Consider the following 26,396-nt stretch of genomic DNA (forward strand, 5'->3'; position numbering starts at 1 on the left):
AGTAAACCCCTTGGAGACACATTAGTGTCCTGGGGCTGCTATCATAAAGTGCCGCCAGCTTGGCAGTTTACACAACGGAAAGGCATCCTGCCGGTGTCGGGGGGCCACAGTCTGAAATCAAGGTGGCCTGCTGGGGTGGCTGCCTCCAAGGGCTGGGGGAGAATCATCGTCCTGTCCCACGCCTCTCTCCCCGCTCCTGGTGGCTGCTGGCGTTTGCCCGTTGGCTTCCGCCACACCTGCCTCTGCCATCACTTGGCCTTCTGGTAACGCCTCCCATGTGCCTTTGGTCCAAATCCCCCTCTAAGAAGAGGAAATGCCTGGATCCGGGGCAAGGACAGTCTGAGAAGGATCTGCCTTGGATCAGGGCCCCCTACTCCAGCGTGGCCTCATCTCAACTTGCTCTCATCAACAAAGACCATATTTCCAGATAAGGCCATATTCACTGGGACAGGGGTTAGGACGTGGGCATATTTTTTTGAGGGACACAGTTCAACCCCTAACAGGAAGTGGGGGGCAGGAATGGGGGGCCTGTCATCTCACACCCACAGAACGCTCAGAGCACCCAATAGCCCAAGTGTGAAGTTGCATAAGAAAAATTTAATTTGTTGGCCGGGCGCGGGGTAGGTCACATCTGTAATCCCAGCACTTTGGGAGGCTAAGGCAGGTGGATCACCTGAGGTCAGGAGTTCGAGACCAGCCTGGCCAACATGATGAAACGTCTCTACTAAAAATACAAAAATTAGCTGGGCTTGGTGGTGCGCGTCTGTAGTCCCATCTACTCTGGAGGCTGAGGCAGGAGAATCGCTTGAACCCGGGAGGCAGAGGTTGCAGTGAGCCGAGATCACACCACTGCACTCCAGCCTGGGCGACAAGAGCGAAGCTTTATCTCAAAAATAAAAAAAAAAAGAAAGAAAAATGTAATTTGTTAACTATCAGTATTCCATGCTCTTGAATGTTTTTGTTTTTGTTTTTGCATAGAAAAGATTATTCAGCATAGTTATTTTGGTTTTTGAAATATTCAACTAATTTAAAACTGTAGCTGTTCGTTAAGCTTTTACGTTCAGTTTACAAATATGATTCCATTAGGAATCTTAGTAAATTTTAAAAACAATGTGAAGGAACTTCCACTACTCAATTAAATTTCCTTCAACATTTAAACTTAAAATTTGGTTTCCTGGCTGGGCGCGGTGGCTCACGCCCGTCATCCCCGCACTTTGGGAGGCCGAAGTGGGCGGATCACAAGTTCAGGAGATTGAGACCATCCTGGCCAACATGGTGAAACCCCGTCTCTACCAAAAATACAAAAATTAGCCGGGCATGGTGGCAGGTACCTGTAGTCCCAGCTACTTGGGAGGCTGAGGCAGGGGAATTGCTTGAACCCGGGAGGCGGAGGTTGCAGTGAGCCGAGATTGCGCCACTGCACTCCAGCCTGGCGACAGAGCAAGACTCCGTCTCAAAAAAAAAAAAAAATTGGCTTCCCTTTTAATTGCTTCAGTTGTTGGACATAAAGCAAACGTCTCATGAACATGGACCATTCTTTCATATCTTAAAAACACATTAAACTTGCAAACATGAAGACTCTTCAGCCCTCTTATATTTTCGATCTAGTTTACAAAGTTGATCATGGATTGACCTAACAGCTTAAGTCGATGAATTAACCATTTCCTTTTGGAATCGCAGCTAACTTCTGACTAACGGGCCAAGTTACTTTAACCAAGACAAAAACAGAAGAGAGCAAACAGGCAGGTTCCTTTACCCCAGATGCATCGACATTCCTAGAACCAGTTCTCCGTGTTGTTGAGTTCAATTACGCCTACTCCAAATGAAACAATGAGGAGTTGTTTTAGGGGGGACCATGTGGCCCCGACCCCCAGGCCAGACGCAGAGTTGCAGCCTGTAAGAAGTCAGAGCCTGTGCGAGGCCGGGCCGCCTCCTAACGCCACCTCCCCACTCGAGCTGCTGCTGCCTGAGCCCTGACCTCTGTCAACATCTCCCCCATCTGGAAAGCCTGACCCCCCACTCTGGTCAGCTCCCGGCCCCTCCTCACCCCTGCACGGCACTCGCCACTCCTGACGCTAGATGTCAGCTCGGTGGGAGCTCAGTGGAGGACAGGCCGAGTGCCCCAGCGTTCTGGGGGCAGCTGAGGTATTCCCGGGAACAGGAGGAAGGGGTGGCAGGGTCTCGCCGGCTGTCTCAGCTCCCCAGTCCCCCACAGCTGTCCCCATCGACCCCGGGCCCATTAACACCTCTTGTTGCTGCCCCACGACTGGGGGAGTCAAAGGAGATGGTTCCGTTTAAAAATCCCTCAAAGGGTTTGTTAAGGAACAGTGACAGGGGGCGGGTCTGGGCAGGCCTCGGGGGTCCGACCCTTCTAGACCCTCACGTAGTGCCTGCCTGCCTGGGGCCTGCACACAAAGGGACAGATGGATGGCCAGATGCAGGCATGGGGGCGCGGGCGGCAGGGATGGGCGTGGGGTTGGATGGTCCAGGCGGCCACCAGGGCCTGCCTTCTTCGCAGTGGCCGGCCACGTCCCTGGGCCACCCAGGCGGCACCTGCCCCTCAGGTGACTGAGCCCCACCTCCGGAGCCAGCTCCCCAGGCCCACTGGGTGCCCTCCCTGGCCCGCTGCCCGAGGGTGCCACAGGGCAGCCACACGCCTGCCTCAGGGTAGGAGGAGGGAACGGGGCCAATGGTGGAGGTGCCACCCAGGGCGGCTCCTGGGGTGGAGGGGACAGAGCGAGGGCCCCAGAGCCCAGAGGCGAGCTCTGCACAGCAGGAGGGCAAGTGGGCGCTGGCACCGCGCGGTGGCGGGCAGTGGCGCTGGAGCTGTGAATAGGATCGGTAGCAGCAATGGACAGCAGCTGCCGCTGTTCCAGCCGTTACTGCGGGAAACGGTTTTAGGCCTCAGCCTTTCCAAGCTTCCTCTCTTGATGGCTGGGACACACCACGTGGTTCTCCTCCTTCTCTGGGACTCGCCTCTTGCCCACCCCTCCTCCCCACCCCTCCACCCTAGCCCACACCCCCCTCCCAGGGCACCTCTTCACACTGCTGCTGTGCTTGGAGAGGTCACATTCAAAGCTGCCAAAACTTACTGTGTGACCCCAAATGCACCACTCCCCTTGGCCCCTCCCAGTCCCCCGTCCCACGATGGGTAAAAGGGGCTTCCTTCAGTTGTTCCCTCCCCGAGAGAGACCCCTCACTTTCTCTCAGTGCCCCCCAAAGCCGTCACAAGCTCATGACCACATCCACACACATCTCTACCTCCATGCCTAACCCCAGGCCCCGACCACCACCGCCTCCGCCAGGGACATCAGCTGGTCCCTAATCATATTGCTGCCCTGGACCGAGCCCCCCGAGGGGGGCAGGCAGCCCTCTGGGCAACCCAAGGGCCCCCACCCAGCTCTGGCTCAGCCTCTTTGGACCTGAGCTCTTCCCACATCCGCTCTCGCCGGGATGCCCTTCCCAGGTGGGGATGCCTCAGACCTCGTGGGAGCACGGCCTCTCCGGGAGCCTCCCTTGGCCACCGCTGCCACTGCAGCTCAGCTCCTTCCTGACCTCTGACACTGGAAGGGACCCTGCTGCCTCGTTCAAGGTCAATCCCCAGGCTGGGAACAGCATTTGCTCCCTTAACCCTAAGGACAGGCCCACGAGATAAATGTATTCCCGACCCCACACTGCAGGTGAGAGAATGGGGCTTCAGAGAGTTCTGGTGCTGATGGAAGCCAGTTAGCTGCTCTGCGGTGCATCCATAAACCATGAGGGCTCCAGGCCCACTCGACTGTCCCGGAAACGGGCGTGGAGACAGTGTTTCAGAGGGAAACTTTTCTCAGGTCCTCCAAGCTGACCTCAGCCGTCTTTATTATAATTTCAATATGTGAAAATCAGAATGCAGGTGAACATCCCCGGGCCTGTGGCCTTCGGTAATGATAAAATCAAAACAGCTTTGGCTAAAATTCAGAACACTGCATTCCAACTAACCGTTCATTTCAGTGACAAGAAGGCTCCTTCCTCCGTCAACCGTGTCATTGCCGCACCCAAGAAGTCCATGCCCGTCGCGCTGTCCAGCGTCCAGCCCACCCTCATTGCCACCTGGGAGCTGTAGGAACCCTGGGTACCGGGCCTCAAACCTGGGGTTCTTGGCACCTGGGAGCTGTAGGAACCCCAGGTACCAGGTCTCAAACCTGGGGCTCTTGGGGGAGGGTCCCCACCGCCACGCGATTTGTTTCTAGCCCCTCAAGTGGTTCTAAACGCACAGGCAGGGTCAGCTCCAAAACACAAAATTTTAAAGATTCTGGCAAAGCACGCAGGATGCGCTGAGAACGATGGCCCCTTCGCTGCAGCGTGAGAAACTCAACGTCACCCAACCAGGACAGGGAGGGAGGAAGACCGGGGGCCGGGGAGAGCCACAGTGGCGACCGTGAACAGGGTCCCCACATGCTCAGAGGCCCCCTCAGCGACAGGGAGGATTACAGATGGGAAGGGGGAGTGGCCTGGGCACGGGAACATTCTAGAAATGAAGAAGAAGGCTGCAATGTGAAGAGTCCTCCCCGAGGGGTTGCTCCTTTGGTCAGGGAGGTGCCCCTGGGGAGGGGAGATGCTGATTCCCTGGGGTGAGTCCTGGGCCACCGTCCAGACTCTAGGCTGTGTGCGTCTCGGTCTGTGTGTGTGCTGGTGGGGGACTCGTGAGCCCAGGTGCTGCCAACATGGCCCTGTTGGCCTGACGAGCTGCCCCTACTCCGTCCAGCTTGGACGTGGACCATGACTGCCCAGTAGAAACAATGAGAGAGGCCTAAAGGGCCAGCCCGACCTCAGAAAGCTCTGCCACCCCAACTCTGGAGGGTCACCAATGGCCCGGGAAATGGTCATAGTGTGACAATCAAGCCAAGAAGTAGGTTTCAAGGACGTACATCTCGGCCGGGCGCAATGGCTCACGCCTGGAATCCCAGCACTTTTGGAGGCTGAGGCAGGAGGATCACTTGAGGCCAGAAGTTCGAAATTGGCCTGGGCAACATCATGAGTCCCTGTCTCTCCAAAACGTTTAAAACATGAGCTGGGTGTGGTGTCGTGTGCCTGTGGTTGCAGCTACTGGAGGGAAGGAGGGGCTGAACTGGGAGGGTGGCTGAGGCTGGGAAGTGGAGGCTGCAGTGTTTTGCACTTAAGCCTGGGTGACAAAGGACCCTGTCTCAAAACAAAGCAATACATCTCCTAGAAACCCAACCCTGGGGCCGGGGGCGGGGCGTGGTATTTCCTGCCTGTAATCCCAACACTTTGAGAGGTAAAGCAGGAGGATTGCTTGAAGCCAGGAGTTAGACACCAGCCGGGGCACCAAAGGAACACCCCGTCTCTACCCCCGCCCAAAAAAAAAAAAAAAAAAAAGCCAGATGTGGTTCCAGCTGTGGTTGCTGAAGTCCCAGTGACTCAGGAGGCTGAGGCAGGAGTTTCACTTGAGTCCAGGAGTTGGAGGCTGCAGTGAGCTATGATGGCACCACCGCACCCCAGCCTGGGCAACTGAGTGAAACCTTGTCTCAAAATAAGTAAATAAAAATAAAATTTTGGGCCGGGTTCGGTGACTCACACCTGTAATCCCAGCACTTTGGGAGGCTGGGGGGTGGGGGTGGGGGCGGATCACGAGGTCAGGAGTTCAAGACCAGCCTGGCCAAGATGGTGAAACCCCGTCTCTACTAAAAACTACAAAAATTAGCCGGGCGCGGTGGCAGGCGCCTGTAAATCTCAGCTACTCAGGAGGCCTTAGTAAGGCAGGAGAATCGCTTGAACCCAGGCGGCAGAGGTTGCAGTGAGCCGAGATCACGCCACTGCACTCCAGCAAGGGGGGCAGAGCCAGACTCTGTCTCAAAATAAAATAAAATAAAAAATTATTTTTTAATTAAAAAGATAAACCCACCTGGGGCAAAATGTGCATGTGTACCGTGTAGGAAAACCCTGGAAGGAGCAGCAGCAAAATGGGGTCTGGATAGAGGACCTGTGGGGCCGCGTCGGGGTTCTGTTTTCCAAATTCTCCACAATGAGCATATGTTACTTTCGTAACAAAAAATCAGCCATGCGCGTGAGTTTATACACGCTGAGCGAGGCCAGCCTGGCCCCTGGGAGATGGGACTGGAGGAACCCAGTGGCCACCCGGGTCTCTCTGCCCCGAGCCCTGGTGGGGAAGGAGGCAGCCCCTGCCAGCCACGCTGCCTTTCAAATGCCCGGTGGGGTCAGGGCTCGGTGTGCTCACTGGCGACATCATCTCTGCAGGCGGTGGCCTCTCCACACACCCTGGCTGCAGAGGTCCCAGGCCTGAATGTCTCAGCCCCCCGAGAGCCTTGCCACAGCCAGCCCAGCCCTCCCTCGGTTCTGAGACCATGTTACCTGAAAGACTGGGGGGACCCCGCCTGTCCGTGTTCTGACACCAGCCTGGGCGGCAGGAAAGGCGCCCACCCGCCCATAAAACTCCCAGCTGCCTTATCCATCTCCACCACAATCCCAATCCCACCGCCATCAAGTTTCACTTTAACTAATGGGACACTTAGTTTAATGAGGAGAGTTTGCGTAAGAGGAGCCTGCTAATTAAATTTTAAACCTTGTCATTCCGAGGATTACTGAGCTCTGAACAAAGCGTTTGCCAGGGAGAGGAGCGAGCCCCACCCTAGCAGAGGCCTGGAGCTCCCTGGTGTCAGCTGCTCTCTGCCCTGCAGGACGCATTGGGCGTCTCGGGCACAAACCACAGAGGGGCCTCTGGCTGCCACAGCCAAAAAGGAGCTTTCGTCAGGCCTAGGAGTCTCAGGGCCCTAGATCCCCAGGCAGCCCCCAGGAGGGGCCTGGCTCTGGGGCCTTTGCCCTGAAGAGGCGACTTCAAGGGCCCTCCGGCCACACCCTTCCAGGGTGCCAGACCTGGGGGGCAGGATTGCTGTCTCCCAGGGTCAGACCCGGGGGAGTAAGTGCTGTAAGGAACCGCCTGAGGTGGGGCTCCCGGAGGACCCACCGCCCTTTCTGCCGTCCTCCCCCTCCCCCTCCCCCTGCCTCATCCCAGGGTCAGCCCTCTCGGGCTCAGAGCAGGTGGCGGCTGGCTGGTCCCACCACCCCGTCCTCTGGGAGACCTAGCTGAGCCTTCAAGAGTGGCCATCCCTAACGCTCAGCCACCCTCCATATCTCCTAATGCTCAGCCACCCACCATATCTCCTAACGCTCAGCCACCCACCATATCTGCAGCCAGCATTGTTCCCCAAGCAGAGGAAGAAAATGGGGAGGGTGGCATGAGTCATGGTGTCACCCCTAGAACATCACAGGTCTCAACCTCTGACCTCTCTGAAGGTCTGACAAAGCCGGCGGTCAGGGTGGGCCAGCCTGAGGACCAAGCTCTTGCAGAGCTTTTGGCTGAGGACAGGACAGAGCCACTCTATAAATGACCACCAGGCACAGGCAGTCAGTGGGTTTGGGGGGCACTGGAGAAGCACATGCCTGCTGGGCCCCAAGGACCCCAGTTCCCTGCCCACCTGTCTGGGCTCTCCCAAGTGAAGGCAAACCTGTGGAGACGCAAGCCTTCCAGGGAAGCCCTGGGGCTGCAGGAGGTGGGTAAGGACATCCTGTCCGACACAGGCCAGCCGTGATCAGGTGCTGGGCACAGACACGCTGCTGCCCACGGCCCAGCCCTATGCACAGGCCAAACCCGTGTGGTTGACCTGTGCAGGAGAGGCTAGCGGGGCTCAGTCCTGCTGCCCTGGGCCAAGACTCTTCAGAGGGGTGAGGTGGGGAGCGGCTCCCAGAGATGGCAGCTTTTGGAGCCAGGTGGGACGTGGCCCGCACCAGGCTAACCACAAGACTTCCCGTCTGCCTCTCCCACTGGGAGGCAGGCTCATCCTCCAGGGCGGCCTGGGAGGGAGTAATTTTAATTTTAATTGAGGTAAAGTTCACATCACGTAAAATGAACCACTTTAAAGTGTGCCCTGTGCAACCATCGCCACGGTCTAGTTCCAATCCAACCACCACCTCCCGCACTTACGCTCTGGGAGAGCGTGGGGGATGTTTGTGTGTGTACCGTGCAGTGGGTGTGTGACCTCTTGGAGAGCGATGAGCGTGTGGATGAGCAGATGTGGGTGTGCAGGTCGGAGTGGGTGTGCCCTTTACCCACCCATCCCAGGCTTTGCCTCCTCAAGCCCCATGGTAACCCTGGGAAGGAGATTGTACTTGCTCTTCACAGACTCAGAGAGGCTGAGCGGCTTGTCCACGGTCACACAGTGTGGCCAGTGAGTAGCATGGATAAGAAGGATGAGGAGCCAGTTCTCCCGAGCCAGTGCTCTGGGGCCTTTTCTGCCCAGGGCATCCCACCGTGGCTCCCCGGCTCCTGGACCCACCCAGCCCCGACGATGTGACCTGGGGGACCCCAGCCCTCCTGAGATGGCACCCCAGGATGGTGTAGGGGGAAGTGTGTGGAATTGGGTTTGGAGGGCTGTGCGGCATCTGGGGCCTGTGGCTCCCAGGCAGGGCCGCCCCCCACAGCACTGCAGCCTCTCACGCGCACGTGCAGGGCAGACTCTGCCCGGGGGCTGCAGAATCAGGAGTCTTCTCCTAGGTTTGGCCTTGGGCTCCATCCTACACCCTGAATGTGACAGCTGCGTCTTCGTCTCACACCTACTTTTGAATGCCAAGAGGGGGCTCCGCTGGCCAGGACAGAATATTTTTATGGTAAAAAATGACCGGCAGTTGCATCAGCTCCAGGAGGGTGGGAGCCGTCACCCGAGGTCGCACAGGCAGACTGATGAAAATTCTGCTTATAAAGTCACTGCTCCCCCATTAATTAGGGGGGAGGGGGCGCTCCGGAGCCACCACGCACCTCGCCCACGGCCAAAAGCTTGTCAACATTTTCCACGAAGGATGAAAATGTAAATAACTTTCAGATTATTCAATGTCACCAAGGTATGGAAAAAGGTCGCCATACTGGGTGTCATTTATCTCGTTGTGGATTTAAAGAGCTTTTTTCTATTAAATTTCTTAAAATTAATGTTTTATGTTGCTCAGAGTAATTTAAACAATTATGGGCTTAAAGAATTGATCATTACAGCCCCTGGGATTTAGCGCTGCAGGCTGATTCCCCTGAAAAACCTCTGATTTATCAGGGCTGCTACTCGGCCAGGCAAGCCCGGGGATTTGGGCCCCCACCCGCTCCTGTCCACCCTTGGGGAGGGGGGCTGGACCTGCCGGCAGATGGTGAGGAGGGAGAGGAGGGGAGGGCAGGGGGTGTCCCTGCTCTTAGGGAGAGGGAGGGGTGCCTCTGTGACTTCTAAGGCATCCCCTGATTCGGGAAGGTCCTTCGGGCTAAAAGCAGCTCTTCGTATGAATTTCATATTTAAGAGAAAATAATCCCTTTTAATGTGCTGGTTGAAATTACTTTATTATTCAGATATTTAAGTTGGATGATGTAATACAGTTGCCAGATTCAAAGTTAGCAAGCTCCTCCCCCGTCCCGCCAAGGGGACGCCACCCAGAGCCCTGTGCCACCCCCAGCCCCGCCCCCGCTGCAAGGGGGATGGGGTCCTGGGCAAGGGTCGGTCCTCTCTGGTCAGCGACCCCGCTGCCTCTCGGGTCGGGACCCCAACGAGCGGGAAAAAAAAAAAAAGACAGAACGCGTGCCGGGGAGTATGACCCCGGCCCCGGCTCCCTGCACCCCGGGCTGCGCAGAGCCCTCGCCCTCCGGGTTCCCTCTGCCAGCGACGCCAGCAGAGCCGGGCAGGTCCCATCTCGGGGTCTCCCCGCGCCCGGACGACCCCTCTCCCACTGCGGCCCCGGCCCTGCCTCACCCGCCGCCCCACCAGGGTCCGAGACCGGGAGACCCCAGCCGCGGGGGGGGGGGGACATCAGCCTTCGACCTGCCCCCGCACCTCCCGCTCCGCGGGGAGACTGGGCGCCAGGAACCCCGAATTCGGGGCTGACAACCCGCAGGCGCGCGGCTAAAGCTTCCACCGTCCGCGAGAAGGCGTCTCCACCCTGGAAGGAAGGGGGCTCGGACCCAGGGAGGATGAGGGGTCCGCCTTCTCCTTCCCCTCACCTCGCTGCAGCCCAGAGCCCGCAGACAGCCCCGCGGCCCAAGGTCTCTCTCCGCCCGAGGTCTGCAGCTCTGGCTGGGCGTCCCCCGGCCTGGCGGGGGTCCGGGTGGGGGCCGCGGCCCGAAGTCTGATTCTGGGTTCGCCCTCGCGGGTACGGAGCAGGAGCCGGAGGAGGTCGGAGCCCGCGTTTCTGTCCCTGGGGCGCGGGGAGGTCACAGGGCTCCCCCCAGGCCCGCGCGGGGCGGAACCGGGTACGGCCAGAGCGGCGCGCGCTGCGCTCCGATCGGGAACCGGAGGCCGGCGAGGTCACGCAGACGCGCTCTCCAGGGCACCGCGGGTCTCCCATCGCCGAGGCCGCCTCCGCAGGCCCCGCTCCCCTCCCCGCGGCGGCCAGGGCGGTGTCGGGGGCGGCCACGGGCTCCGGGATTATCGACGCGCCGCCAGCTGGAGCGGGCGCGGGCGGGGTCCCCGCGGGAACAGTCGGCACTTTATTAACCTGTCAGCGCCTAAAAGGTCCCGGGCGGCCTGGGGGAGGGGCCGGAGGCCGGGGCGGGGTGGGGGCGCGGCTGGGGGATTTGCGCCCCCTCCTCGGGGCTGCCCCCCGCCAGCCCGCGCTGCACCCCGGCGGCCGCGCCCCCTCCCTAAATTCCGCCTTCGACCTGGGCCCGGAGCCGCTTTCCCCGCGGGCTGCCCGTTGCCCCCGGAGAGTTCGGGGTCGTCCCTCCAGCGCCCGTCCCTGGCCGCGGGGCCGCTGGCTGGAGTCTCTGCCCTGGGGACACCGACTCCGCAGGCCGGCCCCGAACCTCGCACTTTCCCGCCGGCGCGCCTTTGCCCGCACTGGTCGCCGTCGCCACGCGCCATCCTCGCGTCCAACCCCATCTGCTTCCACGCTCGGCTCCAGTGTTGCCGCCATTCCCAGTGGCCGTCGGGGCCCTTCTCCCCTCCCGGGACCGCCCTGGTGATCCGCGCGTCTCTGCGCTTCCCAGGGGTGCTCGGTGCCTCCTTAGACACAGCGTGGCTGCCAGAGCCTGGGGGTCGAAGGCCATGCGCCACAGGGAGGGAGGGAGGGCGGGTGGGGCTTGGGAGGACCCGACAGAAACCCCGTTGACCGCCTGGTCAGCACCCCTCCTTCCCCACAGCGGGGGTTGGGGGGTGGGGGGACCCAGGCCAGGACAGGTCCTTTCCTCCTCTGGGCCTCAGTCTCCCCACAGGCAGAGGCCGCTGGGCGGAGCACAGCCAATTCTAGAAATGTTCATGGAATGAACAGGTCCAGGAGCCTGCCAGAGCCCCTGCCCGGTTTAGCCCTGCAGACCTGGGGTCTGTGGGCGCCTAGAGGTCAGCAGAGGTCAGGGTCAGGGCAGACTGGACATCAGACCTTCTCCCGGTGATGTTCCTCAGAGGTCCTTTGCCCCAGCCCCATCACTCCCAGTCCCCAGGGTTGCCCAAGCCTGCATGGCTGAGGACAGTCTCCCGCTCTTTTCTCCCAAGCTGCCCTCCCCTCTTCCCCCTCTTCCCTCCCCTTCCCCTTCTTCCCTCCTCTCTCCTCCCTCCCCACTCTTCCCTCCCCTCCCCTTCTCCATCTTCCCTCCCCTCTCCTCCCTTCCCTCCCCTTTCCTGGGCCTTAGCTTTCTCTTCTGTGAGATTGAGAGGAGAGGCCGCTGTGGGACTCAGAAGAGGATGTGCCTGACACACATCCCGAAACGATGAAAAGGACGTCCCTTAAAAGACAACTGTTCCCTTGGCCAGGTGCGGTGGCTCACACCTGTAATCCCAGCACTTTTGGAGGCCAAGGCGGGTGGATCACCTGAGGTCAGGAGTTCGAGGCTAGCCTGGCCAACATGGTGAAACCTTGTCTCTACTAAAAATACAAAACTGGGAATGGTGCTGCGCGCCTGTAATCCCAGCTACTTGGGAGGCTGAGGCAAGAGAATCGCTTGAACCCAGGAGGCGGAGGTTGTGGTGAGCGGAGATCACGCCATTGCACTCCAGCCTGGGCAACAAGAGCAAAACTCCATTTAAAAAAAAACCACACAACTGGTCCCAACCAGTTCCCCCCAAAAGATGGCTGGTCCTGGAGAGACTTGGAAGTCTGCAGCTCAGAGCAGCTTCCCTTGGCCACATTCTGGAGGGGCCTCCGCACCCTTACTGGGGGAACTGAGGCCAGTGCAAAGGTCCCCATGAAAGGCATGGGGACTCCTCCACCTTCCCTCCCCGTCCACTGAGAAATAGGGAGCCCAGGCTCCAAGGGGCCTCCTCCCTCCAGCCCCCACTCTGCTCCAGGGAGACCCCCTCAGAGGAAGAGACCCTCAGGGAGGAGGCCCAGCCCTCCTTCCTGCAGGAGGGAAGGCCGAGGTGGAAGGGCCAACCCTGCCTGCTTCTACCACTGCCCCTATAGGAGCACTTACCTGGGGGTGGGGGTGGGGCGCATACAACTTCTTTCTGCCCTCTGAGGGGACTGTCATCACTGTCTTCTCTTTACGGCGGCGGCGGGGTTGGGGGGGTTGGGGGGTGGGGACGGGGAAGCAGGGCTCAGAGGGTTCCAGCCCCCAGCCCAGGGTCACACAGCAAGTTAGAAGAGCCAGGATTGGAATCCAAGCTGGAGAGACTTCCATGACCATGAGCCTGGTCACCCTACCAGCCTATGTCCTGGGGTTGGTGCCAGCTGCAAGCTGTGAATGGCACACACGGCCCACCTCCCACCCCCATCATGCTCTCTGGACATCCCAACCCCTGCCTCTCCCAGGGACAGGGTGTGGAGACCGCAACCCCTCCCCTCCATCAGGAAGGGATGGGCTGTTCCCCCCACCTCCTTCCAGTGCTCATGAGCATGGCCAAGATCCAGGGATAAAGAGAGCCCAAATTCATACTAGGTGCCAGCCCAAGCAACGAACTAGGGGGACTCAGGGCCCCTCCAGGGCTGCCTCTCAACATTCACAGAATGTTCCCCACACCCAACACTCCCCAACCCCCGCAGCCTCAAAAAAACGCGGGCCTTCCATTGACTGTAACTGACAAATTTATTGAAGTCTTGGAAAGAGCTGATCACCCGAGAATAAATAAAAGACACAGAACATTCACAGAACCAATAGGTAGCTCGAGATTCAGGTTTGCGGGAGTGACTTTGACTTACACACAGGCCAGCCTTTGTGTCTGGGGCACGCACAGCTGCGGGCATCTCCCAGAAACTTCTTCCCAAAGGATCTGATGGAGGAGGCAGGGCAGGCTCAGAGGAGCCCCACCCTTCTCCAGCGGGGAGACTTCCCAATCTGGGGCTGGCAGAGCCGGCTCCGGCAGGGAGGGCAGGCTGTTTGGCAACAGACATCTGTGGGTGCAGCCTGGACACCAAGGGCCTGGGGTGGGGTGAGGAGGAGACCCTGAGGGGCTTAGAGAATTGAGCTTGGAGAGAAGGGGCGCCAGGCATTTTTGCCTCCTCCACAGGATACTCGAGAACAGAATGATCTAGAGACCTGGGGATTGGGGAAAGCTTCTCCCGGGGAAGGTGGGGCTGGAGGCAGAGAGGCCCCCTGTGGTCTGGGGAGAGGAGGGGGCCTCTCCCGGAGGACACAGGTGTGTCCCCGCCTCTGCAGCCTCTTGCCTCGACAGGCAAGGCCAATCTCCGACCTAAAGAGGGAGCCTCGGGGTGACGGCTCCAAGACACATGGAGCCTGGGAAGTGAAAGCACAATTATGATGATTTCTCAGTTTTAGAGATGAAAGCGTTTTTCCAGCCCTCGGGCTATGCTGGGCTGGGCTGGGCCTCAGCAAGGTGACATTTCATGTCTAGAAATAGCAGCAAGTGCTCAGTTAATTGGTCAATAAAGGGGAGAAATTTGCTTACAAAAAAGGCTGGCTTGCTGGGAGGCCACCTGGCGGGCCAGCCCTGTGTCAGAGGAGGGGCCAGGTGGGTCCCTCAGCCCCCAGAGAGGGAGCTGTGCGGTCGGCAGTGGGAGGCTCCGAAGGCACCAGCCCTCCCTTGACGCCCTGGCCCCACTTCCTCGGAAACCCCAGCAGCCCCGAGCCGCCCACCCAGGGGCAGCTCCCTCGTGTGAGGTGCAGGGTGGAGCCGGGCCTGGGTCAGAACTGAGCGTGGTCTACCTCATCCAGCCAGGAGGCGGGGCTGGCAGGGAAGTCGGGGTAACCCCCGCTGCTCCCCGTGGATAGGTCAGAACTGGGTCCGTTCCCTGCCAGCACCCTCATGGGTGGGGGCCCGCCGGGGGCTCCCGAGGGCACAAGGCCCAAGCTGGTGTCTGGGTACACCAGGCTGGAGAGGAGGGGCTGGGGGCCAGGGAGGCTCTGCGGGGCGGCGGGGGATGGGGGGACACCGTAGGGGCTGCCGGGACGCAGCTCTCGGTACTGCTCTGGGCCTGCCAGGCCTCCATGCTCCAGGGAGAAGTTGCCCAGGGCTCCCGAGGGCCGGCCCAAGGCCTGGGTGGGTTCCCCCAAGCTCCCGTAGAGGCCATTGGCCGGGCCCATTTCCGCCAAGGAAGGCTCATCTGCAACAGAAGCAGAGGCTCAGTCAGCGCCTGCCCTCCACCTGCGGCCCCTCAGAGTCCCATCCTGCAGGCGGAGGCACCCCTGGGTCGGAGAAAGAGTGGCTGCCCCACACCACATGACAGGTCATAACAGGCCCCTTCTACTGTTGGAGCATGGCTGCCCCTGCCCCTCCACTGCCCTCACCCCTGAGTCAGCCCAGGTGTCTCAGGCCTGGTGGGATCAGAGTCAGGAACAGCCCAGCCAGGGCCCAGGCTTTCAGGACCAGCCCCACAGCAGCCTAGGAAGGGGGCACAGATACCACCACCCACATTTTGCAGACAAGGATATTTAGTTCCAGAGTGGCTGAGTGAGTAGCCCGGGTCACGAGGCAGCCCAAAAGAGAGTGTCTTGTCCACATTCTGAGGATGGGCATCAACAGATGGGGACGCAGCATCCCCGGTGCCCGGAGAATGAAATAAATAATCCAGGCCCCACAGAAGGGTATGGAACCTTCTCTCCCTGACCCCAGGTAGCCCCCTCCCCCAACTCCAAGCAGCTGGGACTTCGACTCAGTCTTTCCCGAAATGCACTGCCCATTCTCCTAAAAATCACTGCAAGGGCTAGGAGCCAGAGAGACGGCCTGGACACGCCCACCCCCCCATGAGAAAGCCCGTAGGCGCCCAGCTTGGGGACAGGTCGGGCCACAGGGATTGTGTCCCCACCAGGGGAAAAGCAGTGGTCCGGAGTGGCCACCCAGGGCGGGGAGGGTGCTGGGGGAGCAGGTTCTGTAAGTGAAATGCTTTTGAAAGTAGAACTTAAGGAGTCCACTAACTCCATGGGAAATTCAGATCCGCGGGCTCCCTGGGACCCCTGCGACCCCGCCGACGCGCGCTCGTCCCCCCCCGAGCTCCGCGATCCCTCCGCCTACCGGGGAAGGAGACCTCAGCGTCGCTGTCCTGCCCCTCCTGAACGCTGTCCTTGTCCGACTTGGAGCCGCCGCGGGAGCGCTTCATGTTGCGGAAATACTGCCCCCAGCGCTGCCGGCCGGCGTCCTTCTTCAGCCTCTTCTCCTTGGCCCGGCGGTTCTGGAACCAAACCTGGGGGCGGGGCGGGGTGAGCGGCCGCCCGGCTCTGCGGGGGCCCCCAAGGCCGCGGGCGGGAGGGAAGCAGGGGCGAGCGCTGACCTGCACCACGCGCATGTCCAGGCCCGTCTCGGACGAGAGCTGCTCGCGCACGTGGCGCGCCGGCTTGGGCGAGGTGTTGTAAGCGCTCTTCAGCGTCTCCAGCTGCTTGGCGGTGATGGTCGTGCGCGGCCGCTTGGCCGTGGCCTCGGCCTCTGCGCGGCGGGCGAGCGGTGAGGCGCGGCAGCCCCTCCGGCCCCGGCCGGACCCCCAGCCCTCCCACCCCGGCCGGCGCGGGGACGTCGGGGCCTCAGGTGCCCACCCCCATCCCGCCCCACAGGCTTCTCGGAAGGCGCGGGCGCTGGGAGCGATTGGCAAAAACGGGCAGCACCCGGGCTGGGGTGGAGGGGGCGCCGGCGGAGGGCGGGTTCTGCCGCGGGGGCGGGGGCGGCGCCTTCCCTAAAATCGCACCTCCACGGCGCCCCCGCCTTCAGCCTTGGCTCCCTTCTCCAAGCACCCTGATTTCCCCGCGGGCTCCCCTTTATTCTAAGGGTGTGGGTATGGCCCAGCCTTCGCGGCCAAGAATTTAGGGCGATAATTCCGACCAGGGGCGAAAAGCCGCACACTTCGGACCGAACGAAGCGGTTCGGGACGCGGGTCTGTCCGTGACTCCGCCGTTCCCGGCCTCGGCTTCCTGCTGCCTACACCGCCCTAGCCCAGGCCCCCTTAGTGAGCGCTTGGGGAGAGAATTTCCCCGGACGCCCCCCTGGGCGTGGCCTCAGCCCCATTTTTTTCAGACCAGGAAAGGTGGGAGCGTCGTCCCCTCGGCTGACCTCGCTGCTTGGCGGTTTCGTAGTCCGCCTTGCACACGAGCCGGCTGTCCTCCATGAGGTAGAACTCGTCGCCCGTGGCCAGCTGCCGCTTGCACACGACGCAGGCAAAGCAGTGCAGGTGGTACACGAAGTCCTGGGCGCGGCGCACCACCTGCGTGGGCGGGATGCCCAGCTGGCACGCGGCGCACTTGGTCCCGAAGCGCCTGCGGGACGCACAGGGCCGGGCTCAGCGCGGAAGCGCGAGGCTCATTTCGCCCCGAGCGGGTTGGAGAGAGGCAAGCGGCTGCCTGGGAAGGCGGCCCCGGAGGAAGGCTCTGTCCGGCCCTGCAGGGTGGTCGCCAGCCTGGCCGCCGGGGCAGAGCTGCCCACTCCCACTGAGAAGGGAACCTCAATCTCAGAAAGACCTCGGGGAGCCCAGCCGCCATTGCCTGCAGGACCCATGCTGGATCTGGGAAGGTGAATCCGGAGGGAGAGGACCCATCTGGGGCCAGTCCCTCACACCCCACAGCTGGAGCCATGAAGGCCACTGGGCCAGAGCCGCTGGGTGCCAGCATTAGGAACTAAAACATCACCAATTTCGGAGGAACTAAGTCCAGTAGAATCCTACAAATAGGGGTGTATCTTCTCTAATGACTGCTTCTGTGATTTAGGTAATAAATTGCTTTTTTTTCCAAATAATACTTGCTGATGTCCCAGCCAGGCCCAGCCACCCAGGGAGCACCCATGGAGAGGCCCCACCCTTAATTTGGCCAGGCCACAGGGTGCCCTGCCTGGGTGACAGGAGTGGGCTGGGATTGCGAGAGACGCAGGCTTCGAGGGCCTGGCCTTGGTGATTGTGAGGGGAGGAGTCCCTGGGGCAGGCGTGCCCTCCGCTCCCACACTGAGGTGAGGTTTCGGGGCTCACTTGAAAAAGTCGTCCTTGCAGTAAACGCTCTCCCCTCGGCTGAAGCAGCGCTCGGCCAGTGGCGTGTGGCAGTCGCTGCACTTGAGACACTTGCTGTGCCAGTGGCGGTCCAGAGCCTTGAGGATGAAGCGGTCCAGGATGTGCTGGTCACAGCCAGCGCACAGCGGGATCTCTGTGGGCACGAGGAAGTTCTGGGTCACCTCGTAGACCAGGAGGCAGTGAAGCCACCTTCCCACCCCAACGCGAGCCAGTCTCCCCTCCGGCCCACAGGACTCAGGGCTGCCGAGGGGTCCTCCTTTCCCTACACACCCTCTTCCCCAGCCAGCTTAAGTGGCCCCGCAAGTTCCGGGAGTGTGCAGGCACCGCATCCTATGTCAGGAGCTAAGGGGAAACTGACATCGGTCTAAAAATGTGTGTGAGCAAGAAAGCAGCCCAGGCCATTTCACGAGGCTGAATACTCAATTACAAAATGTTGCCAGTGCCAAGAAGGGTGCATGTGGAGCTCAAATGAAAACCCCACCCCAGGGGGATCTGCTCTCTGAAGCCCGGCAGGAAACATAGGGAAACGGGTCTTCACCATCACCTGGAGCTGGGGCACCCCATCGGGTCTCCTTCATGTTAAGCGTCATGGCCACTCTTTCTAGGGACTCCTCGCAAATGTGGCTGCCCTGCCTGGTGGCCCTGTCTGCAGGCCTCCGGGGTAAATATCAATGCCTTCCCCATCATTGGGCAGCCGCAAAATTACTTATGAGTGGACTGGACAAGCCGATCCACTGCCTTTGTGTCAGGCGTGGGTGCCCCCAACACCGTCAGAGTTACTCAAACGTCTGGCTTCCCGCTGCTTCTGCCCCCCACACCCCACTTCGGTACTGCAGGCCCCCTGGAGGAACCACACTGGGGAGGTCCAAGGGTGCCCTGTGGGAGCCTCGAGTCTGTGAGCGGGTTTTCCAGGTGTCAAGGGCTGAGGACTCCCTCTTCACTTAGAAAAAGTCTCTGGAAGAGAGGAGTGCCCGCTGAAGGGACCGGGATTTACTGACATATTGCACCCGCCTCCCTGGCTGTGGACCCCGCCGGCTCCAGCCCATCTCCCAGTGGGTGAGAGACACCAGGAAGGGGCTCCCTCGACCTCCGGCGGAAAAAACTGGGCTGCGCCTCCCCACGCAGTGGCGGGAAACCGGCGATGAATGCGCCCCGCATCCGGCAAAACCGCAGCTCCGGGTGCGGAGCGTCGAGGACCCGCTGCGCGCCCGGGGTCCCCATCGTGGGCAGCGATCGCAGGCGAGGACCCGGCTCGGAGCGGGGCGGCCCGACAGGCCGACACAGCGCGGATTCAGCACCGCGGACCGGACAGCGCCTCGGCCGCAGCTCGCCGCCGGCGCCCGCGTCGGGCAAAAGCCGCCCCAGCCCACCCCGCGCCGCGCCCGCGACCCCAGCCTTACGCTGCATGGCGACTCCAGCCCTGGCGGGGGCTCCTGTGTCAGGGATGGCGGGGTCGGCGGAGCCTGGACGCCAGCCCGCCCGCTCCGGCCAGCTCTCCCGAGCGCGGGCGCGCAGTCCTCCTTCCTCCCTCCCTCTCTCCGCCCCCCAGCCCCCGCGGCCAACCCCTCCCAGGAACCGTCGAAAAATAAATAAATAAGTAGGGAACCGCGAGCCCCCACAGCCTGGATGTAACCCCCTTCCCGCCGGCCGGTCCCTCTCACTCCCCACTGGCTCCGGGGCCTCCTTCCCCATCCTGCGGCTCCAGCTGGCCCGGGAGTCGAGGAGAACTGCCCAGGTTCCCTAAGAACCAAAGTGCTGGGAGCTAGAGTGGTGCCACCAGGAAGCTGGGGGGCCTGGAGAAGAGAGGCTTTTTCCTACAGACGGGCCCTGAGCGGGGATAAACCGAGCGGGTGTCTGTGGGCGCAGACGCTGAAACCTGACTTCGGGGAGACCGACGGTCGGAGTTCAGCTCGACCTTGGCCCCTGCATCTGACTCTGTTCCGCTGGAACGTGGAAAGAGTCCGGCTGGGGCGGCCTTCTTGGGGACCCTCCTGTCCCGTGGTCACTGCCCCGCCACTGCTCCCTGCGCCTCCTCCAGCCCAGGGAGCTGGCTCCGGGCTGCAGAGGTCTCCTAAGCCCACCCTGGACCCCCGAGAGCTCCCTGGCCGGAGCAGCGCAGTGCCACAACCTCACTCACTCCCTGACAACCCAGGCCAGGGGCCCTGCAACAAATACAGGCTGAGGCGCCCAGGCGCGGACGTTCCGGGGTCCTCGCGCCCACTCCCGCCCAGATCCTCTAGCTCCTGCCAGCCTCCGCGGCCAGGCCCGGAAAGGCCTGAGGATCTCCTGGTCTCCCCGGTGCAGCCACTCGGCCCGGGCACCCACCTCGGCGCAGGTCCGCCCTCCGCGCCAGCAGTGCTAGCAGCAGGTCGCCTCCCGCCGACTCCCGGGCCGGGCCCAGCTCCCCGCGCGCCTCCATGGGTCCCGCCGCCCGGCGTCGCCACTCTCCAGTCCCGAACTTTCCCGGGCCCAGCGACGCCACCCCGCAATAGCCCCGAACCGGCGTCCAAGCGACTCCGGGTGCTGCTGGGCGCTGCGCCCGCGGGCCGCCCTGGGGCCCGGAGCCTCTGGCCGAGCGGAGGGCGGAGCGGCCGGGGGGCGGGGCCGCGGGGCGGGGCGGGGCCGGGGGTCGCGGAGACCAGCCCGGGCCACTGCGGACTCTGAGCGCCTTTGCGCCGGGACCTGCGGTGCCCAGAGGCCGCCCCGCGTGCCCGGCCCGAGGGCGGGCACCGGTAAGGGAGGGCCCAGGTCAGGGCTTCCCGCCAGCGTTCGTCCCGGCCCCGCAGCTTCCTGCGCCGGAGCGGCCCAGAGGCAGAGGCCTGAGCTGGAGCACACGCCAGGAGGGCTAAGGTTCCCGGGAGAGGGGTCGAGAAGGCAGCAGGGTCCTCCCGCCGCTGAGGTTTGGCCTCGGGAGCAGCAGATGGTCGGCGGGAGCTCAACCCGAAACGCAGAAGGGGTGAGTGTGGCGCCGAGGGCTGCGTACCGGAACCGCAAGGTGCCGGACCGATCCCAGATGCTAACAGGCTTCTGGGCTCCACCCCTGGAACTGCGGCCCCGGACGGCTCAGGGAGGAAGGGCAATCCTTGAGAGAGAACAGGCTCTGTGTCCTGGACACGCAGCCAAGACCTCGGGTCGTGAGGGGCCGAGCTGGGGAAGCCCCAGGGCACACCTTCCATTTCCAGCCCCCAGCACTCCGGCTCCATTGGAACACGGTCCCTTACCTGATATTTCAGCCTCTTGCCCCAGTCCACACAGGTGAGCTCTCCAGAACCCACCTGTCCTTGCAGGCAGAGGGACGCACCCACCCCTGCCCAGAGGGCCCTGGGCCAGCACCAGCCCTGGGCAGCCACCCGGGGAAGAACACAGCAGTGGGTGGCCCTCGGCAGCACAGGACTTGGCAAAGGCAGGGGTGCCCTGGCAGTGCGCAGAAACACACAGGAAGGGTTGGGGGACCAGGGGCTGATGCCATCCTGCAGGTCCCTCTCCCTGTGGGTCTCACAGCAATACTCTGTCCACTCTGCCTATGGCTTCTGGACTGTGAGCTTTAAGGGCCCAGGCCCAGAAGGATGGGCACAAGAAACCACAGTCCCTCCCTCCTAGCTCCCAGCAGGTCCGATGTGTCCGTTTTGAGCAGTGGCCCATGCAGCCAGCTTTCTGCCCCTTCACTTTGCACAGCACTTGTTACCCAAGAAGGGCCAGGGCAAGGACACGCGGGTGCAAAGCCGAGTGTGTGCGGGCTGTGCTGGGTGCAGGTGGCTGAGTGTCAGCTGCTGCCGAAGCGATCAGGGGTCGTGTGTGGCAGGACTGGGGAAGGGGCGGCGGCAGGTTAAGGAGGCGGCCCACCCTGCTGGCATCTGGCCAGCCCTCCAACAATGCCTCCATTATTTCCCAGCGTCCGTGGTGATGGAATGGCCCTTGGGGAGGGTGGTTCAGGCGGGAGACACAGGCTTGGGTCCCCTGCTGTGGGGTCCAGAGACCTGGGCCGGGCTGTGTGCAAGAGCTGACGGGCACTGGTCACCGGGGGAACCTAGCACCCCTTGGTCGGCCCCATCGCCCCCCAGCTGTGCCTGCGATGCCCCCTTTTTTTCTAGGGGCCTCCACTCCAACCGCTGTCCCGCACTCTTGCAGGCCAGCGTCAGGCCCTCCCCGCCACCCTGGGATCTGGAAACTCACTCTCTGCAGTTTCCATCTCTGTGTCCCGCCTGCAGAGCGGCGGGACTTTCTTTGCCTGGCCGCTGGCCCTGCACGCACCCCCTTCCTCGCGCCTCTGCCGCCCTTGCCGTTTCTGTCCTCAGTGTCCTGCTGGGGCTTACCCCGAGTCCCGCCCAAGGTGCAGACGGCGGCGGCCCCGGGCCTCGCTCGGTCGCGCTCGAGCCCCGTTTCCAGCAGCATCGCGGCCACCAGGCCGAGTGGCGCGAGACGCGCTCCTCCTAGGTCAGCGTCCCCTGGAGGGTTCGGGGCTCCCAAGTCCCGCCGCGTCGTGCGGGGCAGGGAGCCCGGGAGCCACTGGGCCTGGCGCTGTCCGCGGTGCTGAAGGAGGCGCCCGCTGCCCGCCCCGCCCGCGCGCCCGCCCACCTCCCGGGGCCCCTCTCGTCGCCCCGGTCCCCACCCCCGCCTCTGCCCCGTGTCGGGCGCGCCTCCCTCCCTGGCTGGGTTGGGCCGCACTCAAGGCAGCCCCCGCCCTCACCCCTCTGAGACCCAGGGTGGCCGTGCCCGCTCCTCCCTAAGCTCCAGGCCCTGCTGAGGCGCTGGGATTCGCCGAGTTTCGCAGCAAGCGGGTCGTCCAGCCGCAGGGCAGGAGGACACTGACCCTACCCTTCTGGCGTGCAGCCTCTGGAAGGCAGTGCCCAGGCCGTGCCCCGGGGCAGCCCCATGCGTGATCAACTCCAGCCCAGGGCTCACTGGGGCACTCTCCTGCAGGTGTTTTGCTGGTCAGGGAACTTTCCACTCTTAACCTCCTTGAACTCAACCCCCAACTTCTGGGAGGAGCTCAGCCCGCACCCCTCCGGGCTGCCAGGAGGAGAGGCACCTGCAGTCCCCTGTAACAAAAGCACTGCTGAGGACTCAAGACCTTGGGCATAGGCAGGGCCTGAAGGAATCGCCCAGTACACACCCAGGCTGGTGTCTGCTCGGTGCCTGACGAGTGACTGAGTTACTGCCAGCCTCTGCACAGCCTGGCCAGGGAGGTGCCAACCGGCTTCCTCCACAGCCACAGGCAAGACTGTTGACCACTGCCCTGCCCCCACTGGCACAGCAAAAGTAGGGGAGGGGCAGAAGACAACACGGGGTCAAGGGCACCCCACAGAACACCACAAACAGCCTTAGCAGGACACTCACACCCAGGAAGCAGAGGGATGGCCACTCAAGCAAGCTGGGGGTCCTCTGAGGTGCCCTCAGGCTGGGCTGCCGCGCGTGCTCTTTGAAGTGTGTAGCTGACATGCATCTCAGCTGCCCTTTAACCTGTGTAAAATCAAGGGTCTTGTCCTGTGAGTCTCGTCCAGATCAGCTCCAGGGAGATGATCTATCACTGCTTTCCATCTTCTACTTTCCATCCGACCCTTGGGCTGTGTCCCAAAAGCCAATGATTCGATAGGAGAAACTCTAGGATTTCAGATGTCCAGTACGTGAACAAAAGAGGGGTCCATTCTGCACCCACCGCCTCTACCACAACTCCCACTGGTAGAGCTGGTTCACATTTCAAAAGAATCACCATTTTTTCAAATGTCAGATTTCTTTATTAAAATGTGCACATTATAGTTTACTTAAATACAAAATGTTCACTTTCCTTGCAGGTAAGAAATTTCACTGACATTTCCATGTCAATTAGCTTCTTTTTAATAAAAATCCTTCCACTGAAAATAAATAAGCATTTAAATTACTGAACTATTATATTCATTAGTCTCAATACCTCTTAAAATACTTAAAACTTTAGAAAATAGACTCTAAACATTGCCTAAAGGTGGCATCCAGCTCTGAGCAGGCCACACAAGGTGTGTCTGAGTATGGCCATATGACTCCTGGGGCCACCTCCACGACGGCCCAGCCCCACCGACGCTCTGCTGAAAATCCTGCCCCTCAGCAGGACGCAAGCTTGTTCCCCAAATAGTGGTGACCTCAAACTGCAATATGATGAAACCTGCAGCCAACACTGCCCTCCACAAGGGTTTCTGGAAAGGCTGAAGCTGGAGACGGTAAACCACAACACCGTCCCAGGTCACTCCAGGTCACCCCAGCTAAAGACATTCAACACCAGCCAAAAGGCTAAAGTTTAGTTTGAAGGGTTCAAAGGCAAATACACTGAAACCCACGTGTAAACCTGCCTGGTTTTCAAACTGGAAGAGAAACACTTTGGTGTCTTCAATAACCCAGGCCTGCACTGGATGAAGCAATGAAGGCAAGGTCACGGCTGCTAAAGCACAGAGGGGTTAAAAAGTGTGAAACCAGAAGCAACTCTCGAGTGAGACACGAAGCAGCAGGCTGACGCACCAGACACCGCTCCCACCAGACACCTCTCCCGCCAGCTGCAGGGCCCTGGGCAGCGTTCTCAGCCCAGCCATTCTGTGACAGTTGTTGAAAGAATCAGCTGTTGCCTTTTTTTCTCAAGCGACAACAATCACATCAATATTACATGGTCTTATGAATACATCCATGTCATCAACTTGTTAGTAAACACATGATTATACAACATAAAGTAGGCAAAGCGGAAAAAATATCTACAACCGTCAAAGTCTCTCTCTCTCTCATACACACACACACACACACACACACACACACACACACACGGGCACACAAATACATCTGAGCCTATTTTAGCCAAATCAAATTTTGCCTGTGAGACACACCAATAGCCACAAAGAATCTCAATATAAATGTTCCCAGAAATAGTGTATTTGTTTGTTTACATCTTCAGAGGCAACGGACCACTAAATGTTTTGGGTTTAAAAACAATGTTTAAAATTATCAAATGGTAAAAGACATCATGACAAAAGCTTGGGAGATCAGTGCCTGTGTGGAGACCCTTCCCAAAACAGCTTCAGGCAAAGGAAGCCTGGCCCCCTCCGTGGGCCGAGTGAGATGCTTGTGTGTGCAGCAGGTGCCTCTGTGGTGCTGGGTGAAGAGCAGACGACAGGGGGGGCTTTAGAAGTCTCCCTGGGGCCTACGCTCCCAAGGGCAGACTGCTCTCCTCCCCATCCCCCAACAGAGGGGCCTGTGCTCTAAGCACTGCCCGCTGAGCCCAGAGCTGCCCTCCAGGCACCCGCCGTCCCAACGGCCCCCATTTACTTGTCTCTCTCTTGTCACCAGATAGACAGACAAAGGCGCTGCCTCTGAGGGTTAAATGAGCCCCCATCCTTCCAACCCCCAGGTCCACAGCCCAAGGCCTCTGGGGGTTATTTTCTGAAACGCAGCACAGCCACAGAATTCCTTGGCTCCTCCCCTGTTGAAATCCCCACGTCTGGTGTCGAACACCCGGAGGAACAAGGAGAGCCCTCAGGAACCTGCCCTAGGGAAGCAGCTACAAACACAGGATAGTCCCTGGAGCACTTGCTTGGAGGGGCTGCAGAGGCCGACTGCGCTTCCGGCTCTGTCTGTCCCCGCCCGGCTAAAGGAAAACACTTGGCAGCCTGGAGCAGGGGGCGTGGGGGGAGCGGGGGGAGGGGGAGCGAGGGGAGTGGGGGGGAGCCAGGAGCCGCGGGGGGGATGGGCGAGGTTCTCCAAATACAAAAACAAGGCCCTGCAGGATGGGGCGGAGTGGAGGAAACGAGATGAAAGTGTGTGGGGAAGACTATCTGGCCTGGACTCTGCACCCTCTTTTCACATCTAGAAGAGTAAAAATACAGAAGTCTTTTTGCTGTAAGACCTGCAAAAGGAGCATGAACAGACTTGAGTACGCCAGGAATGCAAATATCCCCACAAAATTACCCCGTGTTCTTCCCTTGTTAGAAGAGCGTTTGTAAAACCAGGACTTTGAAGCCAAAAGGTGCCATCCGATGTGAAACCAGGCCCGCATGTTTATAAAATCCCTGATCATAAATATTAAAGCTGCAGGTGGCACGGGGCAGGGCTGCCTCCAAGGGAGCTTCCGCCGTGGCTGGCAGCACCCGGGCACTCACACGGCCGGGTGGTGGTGCTTGACCTTCCACCGCCTGGACCTCACCCGGAAGAAGAAGTACATCACCATGAGGAACAGGGATGAAGCCACGTACAGCACGACACAGAGACTCATGTCCAGGCTGGAGAAGTCAACCCCGAGGAAGGGTGCGGCCCCGCCCACCTCCTTGTGGGCCCCGGGCCCATCCAGACTCTGGAGTTTCCCGTCCAAGCTGTGATGCAAGCTCTCTGGAAGGGCAGGCCTGGGGCCCAGTGCACCAGGTGGACGGACGCTCTGGGTGTCTCGGTCTCCATGGGACACCTCTGGGGGAGTGAGTCTTTTCTCCTCTTCCTCACCCCTGGCCAGGGTTCCTCCTTCACTGGAATCCCCCTGGTCTGCGGAATACGTGTCTAAGAGGTTGTCGCGGCCATAGTGCTGCTTCAAGAATGTGAGCACGTGGCCTTCATCCCAGCTGGCCAGGCCCTTAATTTCCTCATGGCAGGCTGGGCAGAGGTCCGGAGTGGGCCACTGAAGCTTTGGAAACCGGGGATCCTCACTCAGATGGCCTAGGAAGAAAAGGAAGCGGGAGAGCCAGAGGGAAGGAGGCTTTGTGCAGCCACGTGCAGCGTGCGGCAACCGGACTCCCACTCCCACCCACCACGGGCCTCCACTGCCCTGGCCCAGGGTCCTGCCAGGCCTCCCTCCCTGCCCTTCCCACCACCCGTCCCTTGCAGTTCGGCCCAGATAACATCCTGCTTCTGCAGGCCCCTGCGCACGTGTTCCCCTCTGCCGGTTCCCATAGCCTGCAAGTGAGGAGACGCTACACGCTCGGCCTCCGCCACTTCCCAGACCACACCTGTCCCAAACCACCCAGCACTCCACTTCCAAAACGGAGCAT

At 60.9% G+C, this 26,396-nt stretch overlaps 2 protein-coding genes across 5 annotated transcripts in view, besides 7 other annotated features; both read right to left on the bottom strand.

The window, feature by feature from the left end:
• Positions 4,053-4,553: an enhancer, noted in NCBI's record as "H3K4me1 hESC enhancer chr9:139079110-139079610 (GRCh37/hg19 assembly coordinates)". NCBI's record gives its function as "activates a minimal SCP1, AML or CMV promoter by ChIP-STARR-seq in primed H9 embryonic stem cells {active_cell/tissue: H9 hESC(primed)}" and the evidence as "EXISTENCE:reporter gene assay evidence [ECO:0000049][PMID:30033119]".
• Positions 7,112-8,058: an enhancer, noted in NCBI's record as "H3K27ac-H3K4me1 hESC enhancer chr9:139082169-139083115 (GRCh37/hg19 assembly coordinates)". NCBI's record gives its function as "activates a minimal SCP1, AML or CMV promoter by ChIP-STARR-seq in primed H9 embryonic stem cells {active_cell/tissue: H9 hESC(primed)}" and the evidence as "EXISTENCE:reporter gene assay evidence [ECO:0000049][PMID:30033119]".
• Positions 8,059-9,004: an enhancer, noted in NCBI's record as "H3K27ac-H3K4me1 hESC enhancer chr9:139083116-139084061 (GRCh37/hg19 assembly coordinates)". NCBI's record gives its function as "activates a minimal SCP1, AML or CMV promoter by ChIP-STARR-seq in naive H9 embryonic stem cells {active_cell/tissue: H9 hESC(naive)}" and the evidence as "EXISTENCE:reporter gene assay evidence [ECO:0000049][PMID:30033119]".
• On the bottom strand, positions 13,039-21,917 carry LHX3 (LIM homeobox 3). Of its 4 annotated transcripts, none has more exons than NM_178138.6 (6): positions 21,723-21,917; positions 17,371-17,542; positions 16,467-16,669; positions 15,697-15,848; positions 15,441-15,609; positions 13,039-14,532 (listed from the first exon to the last, which is right to left on the bottom strand). In NM_178138.6, the coding sequence occupies exons 1-6, from the start codon at positions 21,799-21,801 to the stop codon at positions 14,114-14,116; spliced, it is 1,194 nt and encodes a 397-aa protein (NP_835258.1). In that variant the 5' UTR covers positions 21,802-21,917; the 3' UTR covers positions 13,039-14,113. The 4 variants fall into 4 exon arrangements, with proteins under 4 accessions (NP_835258.1, NP_055379.1, XP_016870657.1 ...); NM_014564.5 differs by lacking the exon at positions 21,723-21,917 and adding an exon at positions 19,735-19,978; XM_017015168.1 differs by lacking the exon at positions 21,723-21,917 and adding an exon at positions 18,810-18,816.
• Positions 14,484-15,175: an enhancer, noted in NCBI's record as "H3K27ac-H3K4me1 hESC enhancer chr9:139089541-139090232 (GRCh37/hg19 assembly coordinates)". NCBI's record gives its function as "activates a minimal SCP1, AML or CMV promoter by ChIP-STARR-seq in naive H9 embryonic stem cells {active_cell/tissue: H9 hESC(naive)}" and the evidence as "EXISTENCE:reporter gene assay evidence [ECO:0000049][PMID:30033119]".
• Positions 15,176-15,865: an enhancer, noted in NCBI's record as "H3K27ac-H3K4me1 hESC enhancer chr9:139090233-139090922 (GRCh37/hg19 assembly coordinates)". NCBI's record gives its function as "activates a minimal SCP1, AML or CMV promoter by ChIP-STARR-seq in naive and primed H9 embryonic stem cells {active_cell/tissue: H9 hESC(naive and primed)}" and the evidence as "EXISTENCE:reporter gene assay evidence [ECO:0000049][PMID:30033119]".
• Positions 23,122-26,396, bottom strand: part of QSOX2 (quiescin sulfhydryl oxidase 2) — a 39,480-nt gene continuing 36,205 nt past the window's right edge. The window contains exon 12 of the mRNA NM_181701.4: positions 23,122-26,064. Coding sequence (NP_859052.3) covers positions 25,517-26,064 — 548 coding nt within the window. The 3' untranslated portion in view covers positions 23,122-25,516. The remainder of the gene's footprint in view (positions 26,065-26,396) is intronic.
• Positions 25,224-25,775: an enhancer, noted in NCBI's record as "H3K4me1 hESC enhancer chr9:139100281-139100832 (GRCh37/hg19 assembly coordinates)". NCBI's record gives its function as "activates a minimal SCP1, AML or CMV promoter by ChIP-STARR-seq in naive H9 embryonic stem cells {active_cell/tissue: H9 hESC(naive)}" and the evidence as "EXISTENCE:reporter gene assay evidence [ECO:0000049][PMID:30033119]".
• Positions 25,776-26,325: an enhancer, noted in NCBI's record as "H3K4me1 hESC enhancer chr9:139100833-139101382 (GRCh37/hg19 assembly coordinates)". NCBI's record gives its function as "activates a minimal SCP1, AML or CMV promoter by ChIP-STARR-seq in naive H9 embryonic stem cells {active_cell/tissue: H9 hESC(naive)}" and the evidence as "EXISTENCE:reporter gene assay evidence [ECO:0000049][PMID:30033119]".

Source organism: Homo sapiens, chromosome 9 (genome assembly GCF_000001405.40).
Source record: "Homo sapiens chromosome 9, GRCh38.p14 Primary Assembly".
NCBI classification, from domain to species: domain Eukaryota; kingdom Metazoa; phylum Chordata; class Mammalia; order Primates; family Hominidae; genus Homo; species Homo sapiens.

Bases quoted from the DNA above. Each gene is read 5' to 3' on its own strand.
- LHX3 (NM_014564.5), bottom strand. From the start codon at position 19,828: ATGGAGGCGCGCGGGGAGCTGGGCCCGGCCCGGGAGTCGGCGGGAGGC. The intron at 17,543-19,734 runs GTGGGTGCCCGG...TCGTGCCCACAG, and splicing joins GAGGGCGGACCTGCGCCGAG to AGATCCCGCTGTGCGCTGGC. The intron at 14,533-15,440 runs GTAGGCGGAGGG...CTTCTGTTGCAG, and splicing joins CGCTGAGGTCTCCTTCCCCG to ATGAGCCTTCCTTGGCGGAA.